The sequence below is a fragment of the Homo sapiens genome, chromosome 2 (genome assembly GCF_000001405.40).
Source record: "Homo sapiens chromosome 2, GRCh38.p14 Primary Assembly".
Taxonomy (NCBI): domain Eukaryota; kingdom Metazoa; phylum Chordata; class Mammalia; order Primates; family Hominidae; genus Homo; species Homo sapiens.
In genome coordinates this window covers 109,118,738-109,139,365 of record NC_000002.12, presented here as the reverse complement: position 1 = coordinate 109,139,365, position 20,628 = coordinate 109,118,738, and the positions used below count along the sequence as shown (strand labels likewise).

At 48.2% G+C, this 20,628-nt stretch overlaps 2 protein-coding genes and 1 long non-coding RNA gene across 4 annotated transcripts in view, besides 5 other annotated features; 1 reads left to right on the top strand and 2 right to left on the bottom strand.

The window, feature by feature from the left end:
• The window catches only part of SH3RF3 (SH3 domain containing ring finger 3), a 375,430-nt gene extending 365,269 nt beyond the window's left edge, over positions 1-10,161 (bottom strand). For both annotated transcript variants that reach the window (NM_001099289.3, XM_011511109.3), the window contains exon 1: positions 9,253-10,161. In NM_001099289.3, the coding sequence (NP_001092759.1) occupies positions 9,253-9,825 (573 nt within the window). In that variant the 5' untranslated portion in view covers positions 9,826-10,161. The remainder of the gene's footprint in view (positions 1-9,252) is intronic.
• RANBP2 (RAN binding protein 2) overlaps positions 1-20,628 on the bottom strand; it is a 1,122,820-nt gene that overhangs the window by 702,936 nt on the left and 399,256 nt on the right. The gene's annotated exons all lie outside the window — the stretch shown is intronic.
• Positions 4,597-4,666: an enhancer, noted in NCBI's record as "active region_16353". NCBI's record gives its function as "activates an Ori minimal core promoter by ATAC-STARR-seq in GM12878 lymphoblastoid cells {active_cell/tissue: GM12878}" and the evidence as "EXISTENCE:reporter gene assay evidence [ECO:0000049][PMID:35858748]".
• SH3RF3-AS1 (SH3RF3 antisense RNA 1) lies at positions 9,247-12,039 on the top strand. The gene has a single exon (NR_029193.1). It is a non-coding gene; the product is annotated as an SH3RF3 antisense RNA 1 (long non-coding RNA).
• Positions 10,146-10,345: a silencer, noted in NCBI's record as "silent region_11857". NCBI's record gives its function as "represses an Ori minimal core promoter by ATAC-STARR-seq in GM12878 lymphoblastoid cells {active_cell/tissue: GM12878}" and the evidence as "EXISTENCE:reporter gene assay evidence [ECO:0000049][PMID:35858748]".
• Positions 10,376-10,425: a silencer, noted in NCBI's record as "silent region_11856". NCBI's record gives its function as "represses an Ori minimal core promoter by ATAC-STARR-seq in GM12878 lymphoblastoid cells {active_cell/tissue: GM12878}" and the evidence as "EXISTENCE:reporter gene assay evidence [ECO:0000049][PMID:35858748]".
• Positions 10,436-10,505: a silencer, noted in NCBI's record as "silent region_11855". NCBI's record gives its function as "represses an Ori minimal core promoter by ATAC-STARR-seq in GM12878 lymphoblastoid cells {active_cell/tissue: GM12878}" and the evidence as "EXISTENCE:reporter gene assay evidence [ECO:0000049][PMID:35858748]".
• Positions 10,886-10,945: a silencer, noted in NCBI's record as "silent region_11854". NCBI's record gives its function as "represses an Ori minimal core promoter by ATAC-STARR-seq in GM12878 lymphoblastoid cells {active_cell/tissue: GM12878}" and the evidence as "EXISTENCE:reporter gene assay evidence [ECO:0000049][PMID:35858748]".

Here is a 20,628-nt window from a genome sequence, read left to right as displayed (position 1 = left end):
CTGCTAGTGACAAAATTAACCCATGGGCATCATGAACTCAGTAAAAAAAAAAAGGTCAGTCTCATTGGCTATCTTTGTTAAGGCGACATTAATTTAGCACAATCTACATTCTTGATGCTCTGCACGCATTTTCTCATGCAAACACATCTGGTTTTAATTACCTTTGGCTGTGCTTGGGAAGAGAAAATAGGATGCAATTTTTAAGTTACGCAGATTTGGGATATGATTATAAAGAGTTAAGGAATCCAGTGGCTTATCCATAAAAGAGTAAAGATGTGGATACATTTTGATAAATAAAATAAGCTGCATAATTAAATCCACAGACATCACCCATGACTCCACGTCCCCTGCCATCATCAGGCTGTGGCCCCTTGTCTTCATGTCTCTTATTACCACATGTCAAGAGATACCTATTGGCTATTTGTTTACAGTGTCCTCTGAATGGTCAGTTGCAGAAAGGCCTGGATCACTTCTGGTTTTGTGAACAATGTATATTCCAGTGCTTAACACAGTATTTGCAACAGGGTGGGCAGTCAGTACATATGTGTGGACTGAATTAATTATTAACATCACTCGTTCTGGGCCAGTCTTCAAGAGCAGCACTCACACAGGGCCATGGTGACAGCTCCACAGCCCCAGCACCTGGGCCACCATTCATTCTGTGTGTTCCCTACAGCTGCAGTCTGCAGGCAGGGTGTGCAGACCCAGAGGAAGAGTGACCCACTTCCTCACTGCAGATGAACAGGAAGACTAGAATGAACCAGCAGCAGCGGGCTGCCCAGGGGCTGCCCTGACCCCTCTCTAAAAGATCCAGTTCAATACAATACATGAAGTCCAGAATATTACTCAAAATTTGCTTGCCACTTTGCCAGCAAATGCAGCACCAAGCTAATTTTTACAACAGCCTTGAAGTCCCAGCAACAACAGCAACTGTCCTTTCTTTTACAGCTAAACTCCCAAGCCTTTTGTTTTTCCCACATGCAAAACTGAAACCCCACTACTTTCTCCCTACAGATTTTTTAGAAATTTCTATCTGAGAGGCCAGGCGAAGTGGCTGACACCTGTAATCCCAGCACTTTGGGAGGCCAAGGCGGGCGGATCACGAGGTCAGGAGTTCGAGGCCAGCCTGGCCAATACGGTGAAACCCCCTCTCTACTAAAAATATTAAAAAATTAGCCGGGCGTTAGCCGGGCGTGGTGGTGCTCGCCTATAGTCCCAGCCACTTGGGAGGCTGAGGCAGAAGAATAGCTTGAACCCTGGAGGCGGAGGTAGCAGTGAGTCGAGATCGTGCCACTGCACTCCAGCTAGGGTAACAGAGCAAGACTGTCTCAAAAAAAAAGAAATTTTGATCTGCGAAATAAATGTATGTGTCTGCCATTGCATTTATGGGTAAAGGCACTCCACACAGGCAACACCTCCAGAAGTCGGCCTGGCCTGAGATTTAGCTGGCCCAGCCTCAGGAGTACTTTCCTCAACCCACATGGGTGAGCACTCCAAGTGTTTAGTAATCATCTGAAGGATTCCTTGACCCTTCAAATCAAACAGCAACAGTGGCAGGCAAAGCTTGGAGGATTAACCGATTAGTCTTTGAACGCAAAAACAACGGCTGATCAGGACGGGTGGTGTCTAATGAGATTAGTTAACCTGCAACCATTTACTGAAATGTGCCTAAGCCTCCCTCATCTTTCCTCTTTCTCTCCAGTATCTCTGGGTTCATCCTAGAGCAACAAATGGAATGCAGTCACCCATGAATGTATCTTAGATCCTAAATGATAAATCCAAATAATTCTCACCTAAGGTGGTGTGCTTTGATGGCCAACAAAAAATTAAAAGAATCTTCAGAAAACGTGCTGGACACTCCTGACCTCCATCGTCCTAGCCACAGCAGCAAGTTCTCTTATCTCCTGAGCATGTGGCACTTCCAGAGCATCTGCTCCAGAACTAGCAAACAGCAGACAGCTTCTCTGAAAGGTGCTGCCCGCAACACCAAGCTGCTCTCAGAAAGCCTCCAGCTGTGGGATGGACCTGCCTCATCATCTTCTTTCCCCACCACAAAGTCAGAAAGATTCAGAAAGAAGAAGTGCAAAGCCTTCATTTGGCAAATCTAGACTATGGAAGAATAAACAAAAAGAGGTGAGAACCCACTGCAAACTCACTAAGCCCCAAATCACACCAATACCACTTTCCTCATTAGAAATTCCTGCCAGATAAACAGAGAATAAAAAGATATAGACACATGTTTTCCTCTGCAGCATATCTGGTCACCTAACTAAATGGAAAAAAAATTACATTTCATTATAAATAGAGACCAATGCAATCGCTGTCCCTGGAGCCCCCAGTGTCCACTGTAGTGTATGGTACACAGCAGGTACTTAAATATCTGTGCAGTGAAGCCAGAGAGAGAAAAGCATCAGCATCCCATTCCTTGAACCAGGGTAAAGATGGCTCCCTGCGAACTCCCTGATTCTCTGGTGAGGTCTTGCTCTCAGAGAGCCCGGCTGCAGCACATTTACAGGTGCCCCGGTGCAAGCATGCTTCTAAATTCTCTCACACCTCCTCCTGATCCGAATTCCTGTGGTCAATCCTAATTCATTTAAACTCACATAAATTCATGTGAGCCTTATGCACACATTACATTAAGTGGAAATGCAAATACCATCATATCTTCGTTTGCATCAGTTAACAATGTAAACACGTGCTACCCAAGAGCGCAGTGACTCTTCTTGGGCCTCCTTCAGGTCTCCCAAAGGAGAGCTGCAGCTCTAAATGGCCTCCAAGGATGTGCAGAGCCATCAAGGGCCAGGAGAGCCTAAAGAAAGCAGAATACAAATCATGCTGCAACTTTATACACTTTTTCATTCCAACTTCACTCAATGGGAAAAGGGAGGCTCACATTATGGGGTGCCTGCATGATCTGTAAACCATTCACTGTTGCCAATACCTTCAGCTCGACACCCTGTTCTTTTAAAGTTAATTAAAATTCCAATAGGATACCCATCAAGCATGCATTTCACATTCATCAAATCTGAAGATCTCCCAAGCAAGGCAAATCTGATAAAAATTGACCTTGGCCTCTTCAAGTGGTGCTATCAAGAGCATTTCCCCCAGCAAATGCTTGCTGATGTGTGTGTTTTTTTTTAATGCACCTCAAAAAAGATCATGTTAACTGTAAAAGATAGAGATTAAATACAGATCAAACGGAAATGCACACTAGAAACAATTGCAAAACTGAGCCCCGAATCTGTCATGCTCCAGCAAGCAGGCAGGCTCTCAAAAGCCAGGAGGAAGAAACAATTGGATAGAATTCTGCTCAGCTCCATCACAGCAAGCAGCCTGATTCTAGGCAGCTGTAGACAAGCTATTGTGTCCTACGGATGACGGAGGTGGGCTCGTTTTCAGGATAGCCTGCCAACAGGCTGGATCAGCAACTGAGCAGGATTATTCTCCCCTGCTGTTTTTTTAAAGCAGATTATGGCTTAGACGTTTTTTCCCTTTTAATGAAGTTTGTAAGAATCATGAACACTGCCTCTGATAATAAAGATAAACTTGGAGCAAATTTAAAAAGGAAACCAACAGACTCAAGCAACTACTCCGCATAGATGCCCAGTAATGCTTGACGATCCAGTTTCCACAACATGGACTGACTGAATCTAGAGGCAAAGCATGATATCAGACTCACAACACACACACACCCCCCCATGCACATCCACATCCACACACGTACACGCACACACCCTTAACTTAGAATACTAAATACCACAAATCCACCAGCAGCAAAGCAGGCACTCTGAGGTGTGCCTCACGCGTGATAAGAGACTTGAAGATTTTCGTATTAGGAACAGGCACTGAAACGACAGCCAATCACGTGTGCCAGGCACTGCACATACGTTATCCTATTTATCTAAGAAGCAGATAGCATCCCTAATTCACTGATAACAAGTCTCAGGAAAGCTAGCCCATTTGCCCCGGGGCAGATGGTGAGGAAGTGTGGAAGCCAAGATTAAAACCACCTTCAGTGGGATTCCCACCACCCCTTCCCCTCCTTCCACGTGTCCTGGGGGAGGTGGCAGGCCACCGCCTCAGGAGAAAAGGCAGTCCTGTGTGTGGGCTTCAGACACCAGCCTGGGAGGCAACACTGTCCCCAGGGGTGTAACAAGAAACATGGGGTTGGGGCTGGGTCACCGTTTGCTCACCGACTTGGAGACTAAGTACAAGGGGAAGAAACCCTGCTGTCTCCACTACTGGGTGTTGTCATGGGACTGTGACACCTGAAGCCACGGCCTCTATTTGAGACCTACTGGGTAGGGATGAGAATGAAGCCAACAGAGGAGCAGAGCAGAAGGGCAGACCAAGTATGGATCAGTGAGGAGAGCACAGAGCTGCTGGGTTAGCCAGCTAGGCCACTCAGACTAATGTCCTGTTCATGTCACTTACATATTAATAGAGCTGCCTGTCACCTGCATCCAAAGCCACAACAGATTTGATGCTGTTTCCTGTGGGCCACACTGCTCTGTGCACTCTGTGGGTTTACAAGACAGCAGCCTTGCATAGAAGAGCATCTGCAGCCGTGAGGCACGGTGAATGGAAGGGGTGGCCACTGCTTATGTTTAGAATCGTGCTACCAACGAGCTGAGCCTGTGGTAGAGTAAGAGGACTCTTCTAACCAAGGCCAAAGTTAATCTTCCAAAAAACACCCTCATTAACTGTGTGCCGCTCAGCAAGGAAATTCTGGAGCCTTAATTTCCGTACCTGTGTAACTAGCAACCTCACCAAGTTGCAGTAAGGACCAGATGAGCCACACTTAAAACACCGCTCAACCCTTAGCCCTCAGCAGAGGCTTCATTCACACCTGGTCCCACTGGGTGCTCAATAAATAATAATTTAGATTATTCACTCGCTGGCTGCAAACTGCTGTTTCCACACTCAGGGGCCTTCTGAACAGGACTTTGCTGTAACTCAGCTGTCATATCAACCACTCGTTTGGTCTCTTGTGAGCTGTCTGGTTTTTGGTGAGGCCCCCAAGTGCCAGCCTTTTCCTCTGGAGTCCTTATTATATCCAAGACCGAACCACGACAACATCCCAACCATCCAGCCAAACTGGACAGAAGGGCGGAGGAACAGAATCCTAACTCAATCACTTCCTAGCTCTCTGACTTGCCCAAATATCAATCTCTCTGGGCCTCAAAATAATAATTATACCAGCCACTTGGCAGGATTATTGTGAACTTTCCATAAGGTGATATATGTCAAAGTGCCCAGCATGCAGCAGGCACTCAGTAAATGTTCAACAGAAAATCTCGGGTATATAAGCAGTTCAACTGTCGAGACCCAAAGAACATGGTAACTAGCTTCCAGATACCATAGACACCCTCTATCCTGGCCTCCACTAGCTGACCAGCTGGACTAACCAACATTCCACGTCCTCTGTAACACAGCCAAAGTCACCCACACCCACCAGAGACTACAGCCTGGCAAGGCTGGGCCAGCCACTCCTGCCTGGGGAAGCCTGTGCTTATCAGGGATCTGTTGTCCTTATTCCCAACTATGCTAATGCAAGTTGTACTCATAATGCTAAATATGCACCATAATTCAATAGTCTGTAACAGGGAAAGAAGTTTGAGTGCAAAAAAAAAAAAAAAAAAATTGTCCCTTGGGAAATCAAGATGACCATGTATGAAAGACTCAAACACTAACAAAATGGTCAAATCAGGTGTAAATGAGAACATCAAACATTAGTGGAGAGGTCCTATTTAAAATCTAAATGACGCTCTATTCAGAATCCTTTGAAAATCTTAGTCTTCACTCTATTTGAAAGAAACAAATAGAAAATCATAAAAGGTGACTGTGTTCAGCTAAAAAGACAATCTGGAACTCAAAGAAAGGTCCTCAGCTCTGTACTCAAAAAATGGTGGAAGAATCATACACGTGTATGCTTATAAAATAAAATATTTAACAAATATAATTTTATGATTCTCCAACTTAAATTATTTTCTCTATTAAGTCCCAGTCACATTGTCAAAGAGACACAGAAGAGATTTTCAAACGGATCCAATGTGAACATATACCACTGTACCTCAAGATACAAAATACAGATAAACTTATTAGGCTGTAATGCCGACTTTTATATCATCAAAGGCACTGCCTAAGCTTTCTAGAATTCTTTAATTTGTGACAATGTCCTTCCTTGTAACCCTCACAGAATTCTGGAGTGACACCGGTCAGTGCCCACGGGTACCTTCTGAGAGCTGGGCAGACAGCTTGCAACCACTCACTACCTCTACTGTCAGCTCCATCCAGAAAGCCCAAGCCAGTCTTGTTTACCTATAATAGTGCCTAGCCGAGTCTACATGAACTGCAGAAGATGTTCTGTATAGGCTCAAATATAAGTCAAGGATTTAAAAAATTTTCAAAACAAAATTGGAATTGTCTGATATTCAAGTCCTTATTAAATCACTTACATTAAAAAGCATGTTTTGAATTACTCAATGTGGAACCACAAAACTCTTTTAGCAAGACTCCCACTGCACTGAAACAATTTGATTGATGCTAGCTTGGGATGTTAAAGGGATTTTCTTGCAAAATAGTGAAAACAAAACAATAAACAAACAAGTTAGCCTGAGAAATTTAGCATACATTAGCAACTGCAAGGGTTAGACAGTACCATTAAAACAGGACTGTTTAAAGGTCACTTCAAGAAGTAACACATATGAACACACTTTAAGAAGCAACACACATATAGTATTTGCCAACAGGCAAATAAAAAGACCAACTCCTGATCTTAGGCTATGGGTACTCGTCACTGGGTATATTATTTCCAGGGGCAGCATCGTTAACTGACTCCACAAAAGCGCTTTATCTCAAATGGCTCAGGTGAGAGCAGAGCTGAGAGGTTCTGCTAACCACGTCAGGGGACTCCAAGTACTCTGGTGATCACCAAAACCGATGAAAAACAACAGGTAAAGAGTTCAGGAAAACACTGTTTTGTGTCCTGCCAGTAAAACCAAACAGAAATTAAAACTTTTTTTTAAATAAAGCTGTCAAAATATTGAACCGTAACAAAATTAATAAAGTAAACAAGCTATGCCAATACTTACCTATATACCTAAAAAGTATACATACCCTAATTGGCCCAAAAGAAGATGTAAGGAGCTTCTAATTGGAAAATGATGGGACTGTAATATTTATGGTTACCTGCTATCATGGCATATTAGTTAAATAAGTGCCCCTCTATTAAACAACATGCAACAACATCCAGCATTCAACTTTCCTGGCAGGAGTCAAGCAATTCCAATGGACAGTAAAGTACCAAAAGTAATTTTCAGCCGAAATCTTTGTCAACCAACTGTATAGGGTTGCTCAATGCCTGATATGCTATTACAATCCTTCCCACTCCCGAAGCATGTGCTGGACCTAATGCTATTATCCCAGCATGGTAGTATAGTGCTAGTGTAGTGTGAATACACCATGCGGGACTCCTGCTTATTAGTTAAATAAGTGCTCGTCTATTAAACAACATCCAGAAACATCCCAAAAACACAAAAAGTCATGAACATGACTATGCACCCATAAAGAAAGTCAACCAAGGGTCTCAACATATGGTGAGTAAAACATCAATTTCCTGCTAATACTAAATGTCACTACTAAAAAGTTCCAAGCTTCAACCCCTTTGACAAGTTCTAAAAGGTACTACAAATGCCACAGAATTCCCGGAGTGGCATCAAAGCTTCAGCCTGTCACATGTCAGAGGTTACCTCCTAACCTCCTGGTCAAACACAAAGTCCCCCAAGATAAACTGAGAGGACATCTGTAAACAGATGGTCATCAGAATGTCCCAGCGTTTTACTAGAAGCGGGGCTCCGAATATCACATAATTTATCAGAACAGAAGAAGGTAACCCACTTATTCTGCAAATAAAGATATTTAATTATAAATACCTTACATCAAAAACAGCAAGGCCAGGAAGGAAAAGTTTGAAAATTTCTAACGCAAGCATTTAGCTGGATTTAATCACAATTAAAACCAAAGAAAAAAATTCCCCTTCAGCAGTGCCCCCCAAGTGACCCCCAGTGACTATCCTTGACTGTCCCCATTCTTCCTGATCCATAGAAAAAAAAACCCATTGCAGCAAAGTATGGCATTTAACTCAAGCTCAACATCCAAGGGTTTAAGTTCCTAACCTTAACCTTAGAGATTTGCAGTACTGCCTAATCCAGGTGCTAGAATGTTCCCAGCATTTCAGGATTACACATAGTGGAAGGACTAGGCATCACCAACTCCTTAAATGGTCAAAAGTAGAGGAATAAAGTTGTGTTTCTAAAGCAAATGATTATTCCAATAGATAATGTATTTTTTTTAACATTTAAGTGCTTTTCTCCATTTAAAGAAATTAACAAAACCCGGGTCCTTTCTTTTCTCATTTAAACCAGCATCCCATGCCCTCTCTCCTGGTAACTGTTCACAAGGTGGCAAGGGTGTGTAATAAGAAGCTGTAAGAAGCTTTTAAAACCAAATCATTGAAGCCATCCAGAGAAGATCTTTCGTCTAAAACAGAAGCAGCGAAGGCCCTAAAATGCGGCTGTACCAAAAATAATAATAATAAATATAAATGACCCCCGTGGGAATGCAACCCTGCCTGGGAGCCCAGGAGAAGACCTTGGCTTCTGGTTAGACACTGCCAAGTCCAAAAGGGCTGGGTCAAAAGGCTCCTGGGGCCTCCAGATTAACTCCTTCCAGACTACTAGAAGCATTCCTCCAAACCCCAGTCCCACTCTGCCTTCTGCCCTCCCCTCCTTAGCCACACCGCAGGCAGGAGGCCCGCGGGCTTCCCAGAGCAGCCATCAGAGCCCTGTCAGAAACGTTAAGGGCTAACTTTTCTCTAGGCAGGCCCAGGGTGTGCAGAGGGAGTGTCTGGGGACCCAGAGGAAGAAGGTCCCCGTTTCTAGGGAGACGCAAGGGCGATGCTAAGTTTAAGAGGCAGGGTAACAAGTCCGGCCAAGGAATCGGGGGTGAGCGACGGGACAGGAAGGCGTGCCCACTCCACAGGAGGATGGGACACACGTGAACAAGCGGCGAGCTGCCCAGGGGCCGGATGCCGCCACCAAGCAAGCGAAGTTGGAGGAAGAGCAACAGCGGAGTGGGCCAACGCAGGACCACCCGTGGTCTCCTCCGCACCTCATCACTGCCCCCCACGCCCAAGCACCCACCCACACACTCCCACGTGCCGTGGCCACTTCCGCCGAGACAGATACTCACCTTTGCCGCCGGCGCGGTCCTGCTGGTCGCCAGCTCCCGCAGACTGCCGGCGGTGCTGCCCGCGGCCGCGGAGAGGAAAACCGGGGAACCCGGGGTGCTGCCTGCCGCGCCGCCCCCGCCGCCCGCGAGCGTGGGGGCCGCACTCTGGCCTGGGATGGGACGCGCGGGCGGGCTGCCGCCGGGGCTGGTGCCCGCGCGGGGCCGCTGACGGATGCCGTCCAGCAGTCGCACCAGCAAGATGTTGGCGGGCAGTTCGTCCACGCCGCAGCCCACCAGGATGCGGCACTCGGGGCAGCGCAGCTCGTGGCGCGAGCACACGATGCTCTCCAGGCAGCGGCGGCAGAAAGTGTGTTGGCATGGCAGCACCTTGGCCGTGGTGTCCAGGCGCTCCAGACACACGGAGCACTCCAGCAGGTCCAGCAGCGACGACTCGTCCATGTCCTCGCCCGCCCCCGCGGCGGTGGCCGCCGCCCGACGCCGCCGTCGCTCGCCTGGCCTGTCCTCGTCGCCCTCGCTCTGCGCAGCAGCGGCGGCCGCCTTGGATGCGCACAGCCAGGACGCTCCGAGCAGCATGGGGGAGGCGCCCGCAGCGGTCTCGCGCGGCTGCCTAGGTCCCGGGGCCGGCGTGGAGCCCGCCACCGGCAGCCAGCATCAGGACTGGGGAGCCGGGCTCCGCCGTGACTTTCTTCACCCCGGCTGGTGGCCCGATGCTAGGGCTGTGGCGGTGCGAAGTGGCTCACCGACCGGCCTGCGTGGCGGGGACCGGCCTGCGTGGCGGGGACCGGCCAGCCGAGCCCGCCCAGTCCTGAGCGCAGCGCCTGCGGCTGCGGGCTACACCTGTCCCGCCGCAAGTCCGCCCCGCGCGGGGGACCGGGGGTGCTGCCGGGCACGAAGCTCAACGGGTTCTGTGCTGCAAGCGGCGGCTCGCGCCTGGGAGACCAGCGGCAGGAAGTGCGGGCAGCGGCCGGCCAGGTCCCCGGGGAGGCCGGGGCGCGGCGTGCACGCTCCTCCGCGCAGCTGGCGAGCCGCACCGCCCCCGCGGCACCTCCATGCGCCCCTGGCCTGCTCGCTAGTCGCTGTCCTCCAGAGGATTCAGCAGGACCGTTCCTCTTCCTCGGCCGCGAGCACGTGCGCGGGGGTGCGCGCGGAGGTCACGGTCACTGCGGGGCTCAGGGAAGGAGGCGCCGTGCCTGCAGGACTTCCCTTCGCTTGGGCGCAAGCCGGCGATTAGCCTGGTCCCCTAGGACATCTCCAGGGCTCCGGGGAACCTCTCCTGCGCAGGCTTGGCCCTGCCTCCTCCAAGCGTCCGAGTCTTTTTCGGCTTTTCGTGAGCCTCAGAGAGGGACGTTTCCTGCCAACGCTGCTGCGAAGGAAAGTTTGGGCGGCGTTATCCCGACTGCCTTCCTCGCCAGCGCCGGCGAGCAGCTTGGGGACACAGCCGACGCCCGGGCATCCTCCCCGACGACCCCCCGGAGCGCTCCCAGTTCAGACTCCTTTCCGAGAAGCGCGCAGAAGTGACAGCCCCGGAGCTTCGTTCCGGTGTAGGTGTGGGGATGCGCCGCAAGGCAGGAGGGGAAGGCGCTCCAGTTGAAGGGGGCACCCCGGGGCCCGCGCCGACTCCTCCCGGCGCAGCCTTGGCTCGCCGGAGTCGCGGGTCGGAGGCTGGCGCCGCTGCCCGCCGACCAGCACCCTGGCGCCAGGCGCCCGGCTCCACGCCGCACCCTTGGCGACGCTGTGCGAGGGGCTCTAGCGCCCGCCGCGGCGCAGTCTCGTGAACCCCCGCTCCAATTTTTTCCTACGGAGGCGCAGAGGAGGGTGAATTCGCGCTCTCCTTCCCGACGCCCCGGCTTCTGGGAGCGTCAGAGCAACGGAAGTACGTACAGGAGGACCGAGAGCAGCAGGGAAGTTTGGCGGTGGGCTGGGGTCGGCGGCGAAGATTCCCTGCCGTGCGCTGCCCCCTCGTGGCCGCTTTGCGTTCCCGTCGGGAAGGGCTGGGTTCCAGTCCAGGGCCCAGCACAAACCAGGATTGGTTGGACGCTGCACAGCGAGTTCAGTCAGGGCTAACATCAGAAGAGTCGTGGGGGGCCTGCCTATCGGCCAGCCTGTCCTTGTGGTTTGTGAAGTTGTATGATCTTTCTGTTATTATTAAGGAAAAAAGTAGTATTTGTTGAGGCTAAAAGGCCAAGAGCGTGCTATATATTATTTAATCCTCTAAACAGCTCTGCCAGATAATTATTTTATTTATTTATATTTACTTCCATAGCTTTAGACAGGATCTCGTTCTGTCAGGCAGGCTAGAGCGCGGGGTGCTATCACGGCTCACTGCAGCCTCAAACTCTTGGGCTCAAGCCATCCTTTCACCTCAGCCTCCTGAATAGTTGAAACTACAGGTGCGCCACCACGCCTGGCTAAATTTTTAATTTAAATTTTTTGTAGCGACAGGGTCTCCTTATGTTGCCCAGGCTAGTCTCAAACTCCTGGGCTCAAGAGATCCTCCAACCTCATCTTCACAAAGTGCTGGGAGTACAGGCGCCAGCCACGGTGCCCAACCTGTGATAATTATTTTAAACTCATTTTACAAATGAGGAAAGTGATATTCATACTTGTAAAGCCATTGGGGCTGAATTTTCATTTTTGTATCCACAGAACTAACACATAAAGTTTACATGCCATTAGAATGTAAGCTCTCTGTAAGCTACAGATCTTTTCTACTGTAATATCCTTAGTGCCTAGGGCAGTGACTAGCATATAGTAGGTGTTCAATAAATATTTGTAGAATTAATGAAAGGATACGTCTCTCTTTCTCTCTCTCCCTCTCTCTCTCTCTCTCTCTCATCACCTACTGGTGATTTGAAGGCAGATCTTAGTATCTCAATTACACATATCCTGTGCTTATATCAGGATGCTAGTCCCTGGAAACTTTGCTTCTGATAGCAGCAGGTGGCTTTCTTAACCTGGATGTCTCTCAGCAATGTGGATTTCCATCTGTATGATTTACATCAGCGCCAACAACAGGGTGAGATGGAAAGCATCCCAGAGCTGCCTGGCTTCCCTTGAGGGCCGAAGGAAGGGCACACACCTCGCAGTGCATGGAAACATGTTCACATGAGCCACCTTTCACTCTTACCCTTGCTCAGGAACAAGGGGAATTTTTTAGAGCACCCAGGATGCTTGATCCAAGAGCAGATGGTAGACAAGGGGGAGCATAAAGAGGGGACCCATCAGGCACTGGAAGGGCTCACAGAGAGCAAGGACGGCCTGTGACGACATGCCCTGGTGCTTTTGGTTGCAAGCAACAGAAACCAACTCTAGGTAAATTTTAAAGGGAGCAGAATATACACTAATAATACGAGGCATCTCATAGGATCCCAGGCTAAGAGCTGAGCCAGATTAGCACAGATAGAGCCTGCAGTGTGTGTTGCTGTCCCTGTCTCTAGTTGATGACTCAACCCTTCACTTTCTTGCACCAGCTGCCTCTGCTTCCCAACCCACATGACAGAAAATGCGGTCAAATCTTCATGAGCCTTTCTTCCAACAACATCAGCCACTCCTGGAAGTTCTAAAACTCTATCACTAGTATGGACCAGTGGTCACTCTTTGGACCCGTGTGCCTTGGCCACAGGAGCAGGATCATCTGGAACCTGGCAGCACTCTCTGTAGTCACACAGGAGAAGTGAGAATTTCCAGAAGAATTGCCGTGCTGGGCAGTCAGAACCACAGATGCCCGTGCCAGAAGCTCACCGCCACATCTCTGCCCTCAGTACATCTTTATCTTGCACGACCCAAGACAGACAAGAGCAAGAGAGAGCCACTTAAGCCCACCTTTCCCAGCTTTCTTCTCTCTCCACTTTACCCCTTTTGCCCCTGCCATAACCAGCACCCACAGGACACACAGACTATGCACCCAGATGTCCACAGTGACTGGGCAGGGCATGAAATTAACGAAGCAGGGTGAACCCCAGGCAACAGGGCCTGGTGGGGACTGCAGTGAGCTTTGTCTGCACCCTTCAGAGGAAGTAGCTGCTGCCCAGCTCCAGCCCTGGGGGAATGACGACCAAATGTTGCTAGACCTTCATACCTTTCAAGAGAAGTTGGAAGTGCTGCTTTTTACATGACATCTCCTGATGTTCAACAGTTGGCAACCGATTTAGTTCTCAAAAACCACCATATTAGCCAAACAAAATAAATGTGTGGTCAAATTGGCCTACAGACCGCCAGTTTACAATTTCTGGTTGAAGTAGCCAAGTACACTGTGCTACAGCGTGAGGGAATTTGAGGGTGTGAACTAAATAGTTGAAGTATTACAAATACAGTCTTATGTTACTCGGTTAAATTTGCACATGTTCAATAAGCCAATTATATAAGTAAATAATTGAGAAGACCTGGCTTTACAGCCATTCCTAAAAAGATCTGGGGATTTCAGTTGACCACAAGCATTGTATGAGCCAACATGAGTCATCTATGTACTATGGCTGACTAGAGAAGTAACGAAATCTTCGGATGCCTTCATGAAAGTTAAGGTGGGGGGTGGTCAGGGTTTGGAAAAAAATAATCCCATTGTACCTCAGACTTGTGAGATTACTTCCAATTCTGGGTACCAAAAATTAATGACGATGTGGTAAGGGATCCGGAGGCCTCATCCATGAGTTTCAGTTGAAGGAACACAGGGCGTCTGTCCAAAGGAGAAAAAGCTCAGAGGAAACAGGACTGGACGGCTGTATGTCAGGTTTTTGGCGGCCCAAAATTTGAACTTCTTTTTAGATTTGGAAGACGCTCCACATGGTGATAGTCAGATAATTCTAACCCCCCCACCAACTCTGCTAAGGTGTGGGAATGTGACAGGCTCAGCTAGTCAAAAGCTGCCCCTCCCCCACCACACTCTGGGAGGTGGAGGGACGTGGGCAGAGGAAGCACCGAGAGTTCAGCAGCTATGGGGCAGGTGGCTGGCAGCAGCAGTGCCTGCAGCCTGTAGCATCTCAGAGTGGGGGCACGCCTTGGCAACAGGCCAACCCCAGACTTGACTGCCTGGTGAGCCTGGACTGTAGCCTCCACTGCTTTCCTGGCCTTGCTGTTGATCTTATGGGTTTTCCAATTTCATTTCCTTAGTTTCTTTTTCGTTAAATCAACCAGAGTCCATTTTTGTTGTTTTCAACTGGGAACCCAAATTGATGCACATTATTTACGATAAACAAAGCCCCTCTATATGAGACAATCATCACTGCACTGAACAGCAGCTATAGTTGCAGAACCCTGGAGGATCTCCGCCAGGCATTGCACCGTGTGGGGTTGAGGAAGGTTTAGTCAGGCAACCCTAAACGTACTCATTTGGGGCAAGAAGAAATCTGATACAGGGAGACACAAGATTGGAAGTTACTGGTTAAAAACTAACACAGGACGACAACAAAGCAAATCCACTTAATGCCACTGAACTGTACACTTTAAAATGGGTAAAATGGTCACTTTTATGTTATGTATTTTCTGACAATTTTTAAAACAAAACTGCAGCCGGGCATGATGGCTCATGCCTGTAATCCCAGCACTTTGGGAGGCCGAGACGGGCGGATCACCTGAGGTCAGGAGTTCGACACCAGCCTGGCCAACATAGTGAAACCCTGTCTTTACTAAAAATAAAACAAATTAGCCCAGGCACGGTGGCTCACGCCTGTAATCCCAGAACTTTGGGAGGCCGAGGCGGGCAGATCACCTGAGGTCAGCAGTTCGAGACCAGCCTGACTAACATGGTGAAACCCTGTCTCTACTAAAATACAAAAATTTGCCGGATGTGGTGGTGGGCACCTGTAACCTCAGCTACTTGGGAGGCTGAGGCAGGAGAATCGCTTGAACCCAGGAGGTGGAGGTTGCAATGAGCCAAGATTGTGCCATTGCACTCCAGCCTGGGCAACAAGAGCGAGACTCTGTCTCAAAAAAAAAAAAAATTAAATACATGTGGTGGCATGTGCCTTTAATCCCAGCTACTCAGGAGACTGAGGCATGAGACTCGCTTGAACCCGGGAGGTGGAGGCTGCAGCATGTTGAGATTGTGCCACCGTACTCTAGCCTGGGCGACAGAGCTAGACTGTGTCAAAAAAATAATAAATAAATAAATAAATAAATAAATAAATAAATAAATAAAACTGAAAAGAAAATAGCATAGGAGTAGAGAGTCCAGTGCTAAGAACCTTGGTTTCAGTTATGTCCATGGGAGTTAATTCAACAACCTATAAATTGAGCACCAACTGTATACCAGCAAGGTCCTAGCCCTTCCCTTGAAGCACTGGCATTCTAGAAGGGCAGGATGAAACTGTCCAAAACAGGTGCAGCCATGGGTGAGAACTGGCAGCCAGCCACAGCACCATGCTCTCCATCCTGGTGAACTCATTCTTCCACCACCCAGCCCTATGAGGCAAGTATTAATGTGGTACCTCCATTTCACAAGTGAGGAAATTGAGGCAGAGAGGGAATATGTAACCAATCCAATGTCACATTGCTACTGAGTGGAATAATCAAGACTTGCATCCAAAGTGGGGGACTTGAGTCTATATTTTACATCCACCCAAACCCTGGAGCTCATGAATAAGACCAGAGCTAAAAATACAGACTTGAATTCATCCGCATATAGGCAGCAGGAAGACCCAGAGGAGCAAATGCTTTCATCCATGGAGGAGAGAGAAAGGCATGCTTGGGGCAGACCCCAGGGAGCACTGTGCTTCAGGGGAAGGGAGGGAGGGAGGGAGAGAAGGATGGAAGGAAGGAAGGAAGGAAGGAAGGAAGGAAGGAAGGAAGGAAGGAAGGAAAGAAAGAAAAGCCACAGTGAGGAAGGCTGAGTTGGGATGACACAAGGCTTGGGAAAGAGCAAAAGAGGGTGGTGAGAGCTCAGGGCACCTGTCTAGTTAGCACCCAGAGGGAGATGGATATGAGGGTGTCACTACCTCTGAGCCACGGCTGATACCTGCACTCTGAGGATGGCCACACGCATTCACCACTCCTCTCTGATGCCTCCTCCTCCCTGCAGTCTTCCATGATCTCCCAGCTGTGTGATGTCAGGCACAACTGTGGGCTACATCGTCCACCAGGCATGAGTTCAAGCCTGTTTCTCATGTTACTAGTTCACCGTCACTGTGCAAGTTACCGAGGCTGCCTAAGACACAACTTGAGGTGAGAGGAATTAAACACTATGGTGTTAAATTATCTTGTTTATTGTTTGGTTTGGGCTTTGGGTTTTTGTGTGGGTGTGGGTGTGAAAGAAACAGGGTCTCCCTCTTTCACCCAGTTTGGAGCGCAGTGGCACAATCATGGTTCACTGTAGCCTGGAACTCCTGGGCTCAAGGGATCCTCCCACTTCAGCCTACTGAGTAGCTGGGACCACAGGCACATGCCACCATGTCTGGCTAATTTTTTTTAATTTTTGTAGAGACTAGGTCTCGCTATGTTGACCAGGCTGGTTTCAAACTCCTGGGTTCAAGTGGTCCTCCCACCTTGGCCTCCCAAAGTGCTAAGATTAGAGGCATGAGCCACCACAGCTGGCCTAAATTACTGTGTTGATGGGGGCTTTAGTAAGACCAAACCCATACAGTGGAGGCTGTCAAGCCACACTTGAATTCTCTTATCCCTGCTACCCAACACCTCTGGGCTTGTGCCCACATGCACAGGCTCCAAACACCAGGGGCAGTCCTCAGCAATGGCAGATGACAGCACTCCTGCCCCTCGGGAGGAATAGCTTTACACTGTCCCCCAGCAGGGTTAAGCTTCATCCAAGCTAACTTGCCCACAGTGAACCTGTTGATTGGCTGGCACTTCCTTTCTAAGTCCCTTTCCAATCCCTGTTGATGTTTCCTAGGGTCCCCTCCCAAATAAACTACCTGCCCGCAAATCCTTCCCTTAAGATCTGCTTCTGGGAAACCACAGCCGTGTGGAAAATATTGAGCAAATAATGGGCACTCACTACCTGTAAATTTCTTTCAACAAAAGCGTGTTCCCTCCTGAATCCCTTCTGAAACCACATCTGTTCTCCTCATCCTGACTTGATCCCTCTCTCCCATGTAGCACAGTTGCTTTGTCTCGCTTTCTTGAACCTGAGCTCCTTGAGTAGCAGACTCAAGCTTGTATCCTTCCCACTAGCAAGCACAGTGCTTTACACCAGCAGGTACTCAGTAGACACCTGCTGAATACACATATGAAAAAAGATAGCCTCCTTGGCCACTGATTAGATGCCAGAGGTAGCAGGAGGAGAAGTTTTATTTTAGACACATAAGTTAGAGGTGCTGGCAGGCAGGGAGGTACAGATGTCTGGCAGTTAGAGATGTGATTCAAACAGAGTTCCAGAGGGAGGTTAGGGTTGGGGGTGTGCATCTGGGAGTCATTTTCCTGGAGGTGATAGATGAAGCCTACAGGGAGAAGAGTAACCCCTGGTTTTTACTCTGGAAACTGCAGTAAAGTCTTTCCCACTTGCTAAGCAGAGGACAGAGGATCGGGAGGAACGTGTAGCAGGGGGTCTCATCAGTCACTGAGCTGCTCAGAACACTCTCCATCTGCAGGTTGCAAAATGCTTTACAGATGTGATTTAGTGCTACACAAATGTTGCCATTCCTATGACAAAGAAGGTGACAGAGGAAAGTTCTTAAGTTTGAGAAACAGATGCTGTGCACCTGTTTAACCTTTTAAAGCAGTTAATTGCAGGTATTTTTTCTAGGTAATTGCGGTGTAAATATCATTAGTGCAAGTGAAGGATTTTTTTTATTCCTAGAAAGGAGTTAAAATTAAGACTTTGTTTTTTAATTTTCAGATACCCAGGTCCCTGGTTAGGTAGAACTTCACTTCTTGTTTTGTTTTGTTTTGTTTTGTTTTGTTTTGTTTTGTTTTGTTTTAGAGAGATGGAGTGTCACTCTGTCGCCCAGGCTGGAGTGCAGTGGTGCGATCTCAGCTCACTGCAAGCTCCACCTCCTGGGCGCATGTCATTCTCCTGCCTCAGCCTCTGAGTAGCTGGGACTACAGGCGCCTGCCACCTTGTCCGGCTAATTTTTTTTGTATTTTTAGTAGAGACGGGGTTTCACCATGTTAGCTAGGATGGTCTCGATCTCCTGACCTTGTGATCCGCCCACCTCGGCCTCCCAAAGTGCTAGGATTACAGGCGTGAGCCACCGCGCCCAGCCAGAACTTCACTTCTTAACCTGCAACAGCTGCACTGCATGAGTTGCCACCCTCTTTACTGTGTAGACAAAGCTGCCAGTTACCTGGTGCAGGGCTTCTCTGTACCAGGAAGAAGTACTTGAGTGTTTCCCTTGGCTTTGGACATGTGAGGGAAGTAGGTATCCGCTGCCTGGGGAAAGTCAACAGGACCCCTCCTCCCCGTACCTCTTGGTATACAAAGCTGAGCGGTGGTGAGTCAGTTTCCACAGCCTCCTCAACCCTTCACCTAGAGGCTGCTTTTTTTTTTTTTTTTTTTTTTTGAGACGGAGTTTCGCTCTTTTTGCCCAGGCTGGAGTGCAATGGCGCGATCTCGGCTCACCACATGGAGGCCTTTTTGATGGACGTGAACTGGAAGGAAAGGTCACCTAGAGCACAAGGTGCCCACTCATCCAAGAAGAAGTGCAGGTTGGTCTGATACCCTGGGGGTGGAGGGCGGTCATGGGAAGGCCAACCTGGCTGAGCACTTGGCTGAGGCTGGAAGTCCGTCTCTACCTTACATCCTTGGGGACCACAGCTGAGTATGCGAGGCTAATGTGGCATATTCACCTGTGAGGAAGCCCTTGGGGTCCAGGTGGCCTGAGGGGAGGGGTTGACCCCTGGAAGAGTCCCTGGTCATCCACCAAAGCCCTGGTTGTTAAACAGAGTGAATCCAGGCCCCTGGCAGGGTAAGCCAGGCCAGCTGGGCCTATACTGGGAGGCCCTCCCCCTCCTCTTACAAATGAGTTGGGCCAGGTGACTCCACCCTACAGGTAGCCTGCAGTGAGCAGGGATGCCATGAGGAACCCAGTGGGTAGTCACATCCTGAAGTTCCCACTCTGCATGGCCTTGGAGCCAGCCCCTTCAGGCTGCATAGTTCTTGGACAATTCAGAGGGAGGACCCAAGACAAATATCTGGACTTCTCTTAATCTGATCAGGTGAAGGCCTGAATGATTACTTGGAACATTAAGAACATTTTGAATATGAATTTGTTTAAATTCATGGGATACATCATTCAATTACATTTCTTTTGGTCCATAAAAATCTTCATAAACAATGGCAATTTTTTCAACTTAAAGCAATGTACATTTTACTCTGATGAGGTATCTCCTTGTTACCAACTGCAGTTTCCATAGCACTGTGACGAAAATATTTCAAAATCTTTTTCAGTATTAAAAATAATCCTGCAGTTGTCTCTGTTTTCTTTTGCAGTCTTCAAAAGAATTATAATAAATTTTCTTCTCCAATTTGGAGACATAATATACTTTATTTTAATTTGGCTTAAGATCTTAGAAAATACTTAAACTTGTATGCATGGTACAGTTATTAAGCTATAGCACTGCATTGATAATACATTTAATGCAGTAAAGAAAATCCCTTATTTAAATTACAGTCATGAGCGAATGAATGAAAATTGAATATAAAAAAAGCTTCCAGCATAATCACAGCATAATTGACATTGAATAATATTTAATATCTGAATTCTTGTCTTGGCAGAAGTATATCCTAAATCATCCAAGGGGAGATTGTCAATTATAAATAATACTCATGTGTATTTTAGAAAAATGTGAAATCCTTTATGAAAGATATAGAGCTAAAGTAGAATAACCAACCTCGGGGGAAGAGCAATGGGACTGTTTCACGGACAGGATGATGGTGGTCCCTTCCTTGTGAGAGAGATATGGATTGTGAATGTGCCAAGAGTTGTGTCCATTCTGCTCTGTAGTTAAATACATAGACCTTTCTAGAATAAAATGCATATTGAACATTTCAGTGGCCATTCTGTCCAGGAACTCCATGCCTGACAAAGTGTCTTAGCATTTCCCCAGAGCTCCTACCAAGCTCTCAGATATTTCTTGAAAAGCCAGGTCAGAGCCTCATTGCACCTAGGACGATGCCTTCCAAGAAAAGCCTGGTGGATGCTGCAAAGGCAAGTCCGTTATAGAATCGCAGAGTCAAATTTAAAACTTCCCTCATTCAACCATCCTGGTTTCACACCACCACCCCTGCAGCCAGGTGGTCACCACCTCTGCCTAGACATTGCCAGTGATGGAGAACTGCCAGCCTCACCCCCTCAAATGACAGTCTGGTTTATTATGGGATCCCACGACTTAGAAAGTCCTTCCACATACCAGGCATGTGTCCATCTTTCAGAAACTTTTATCTATTTTCCCTTCTCTAAGCAACTGGGAATGAAATCTGGTCCCTTGTCC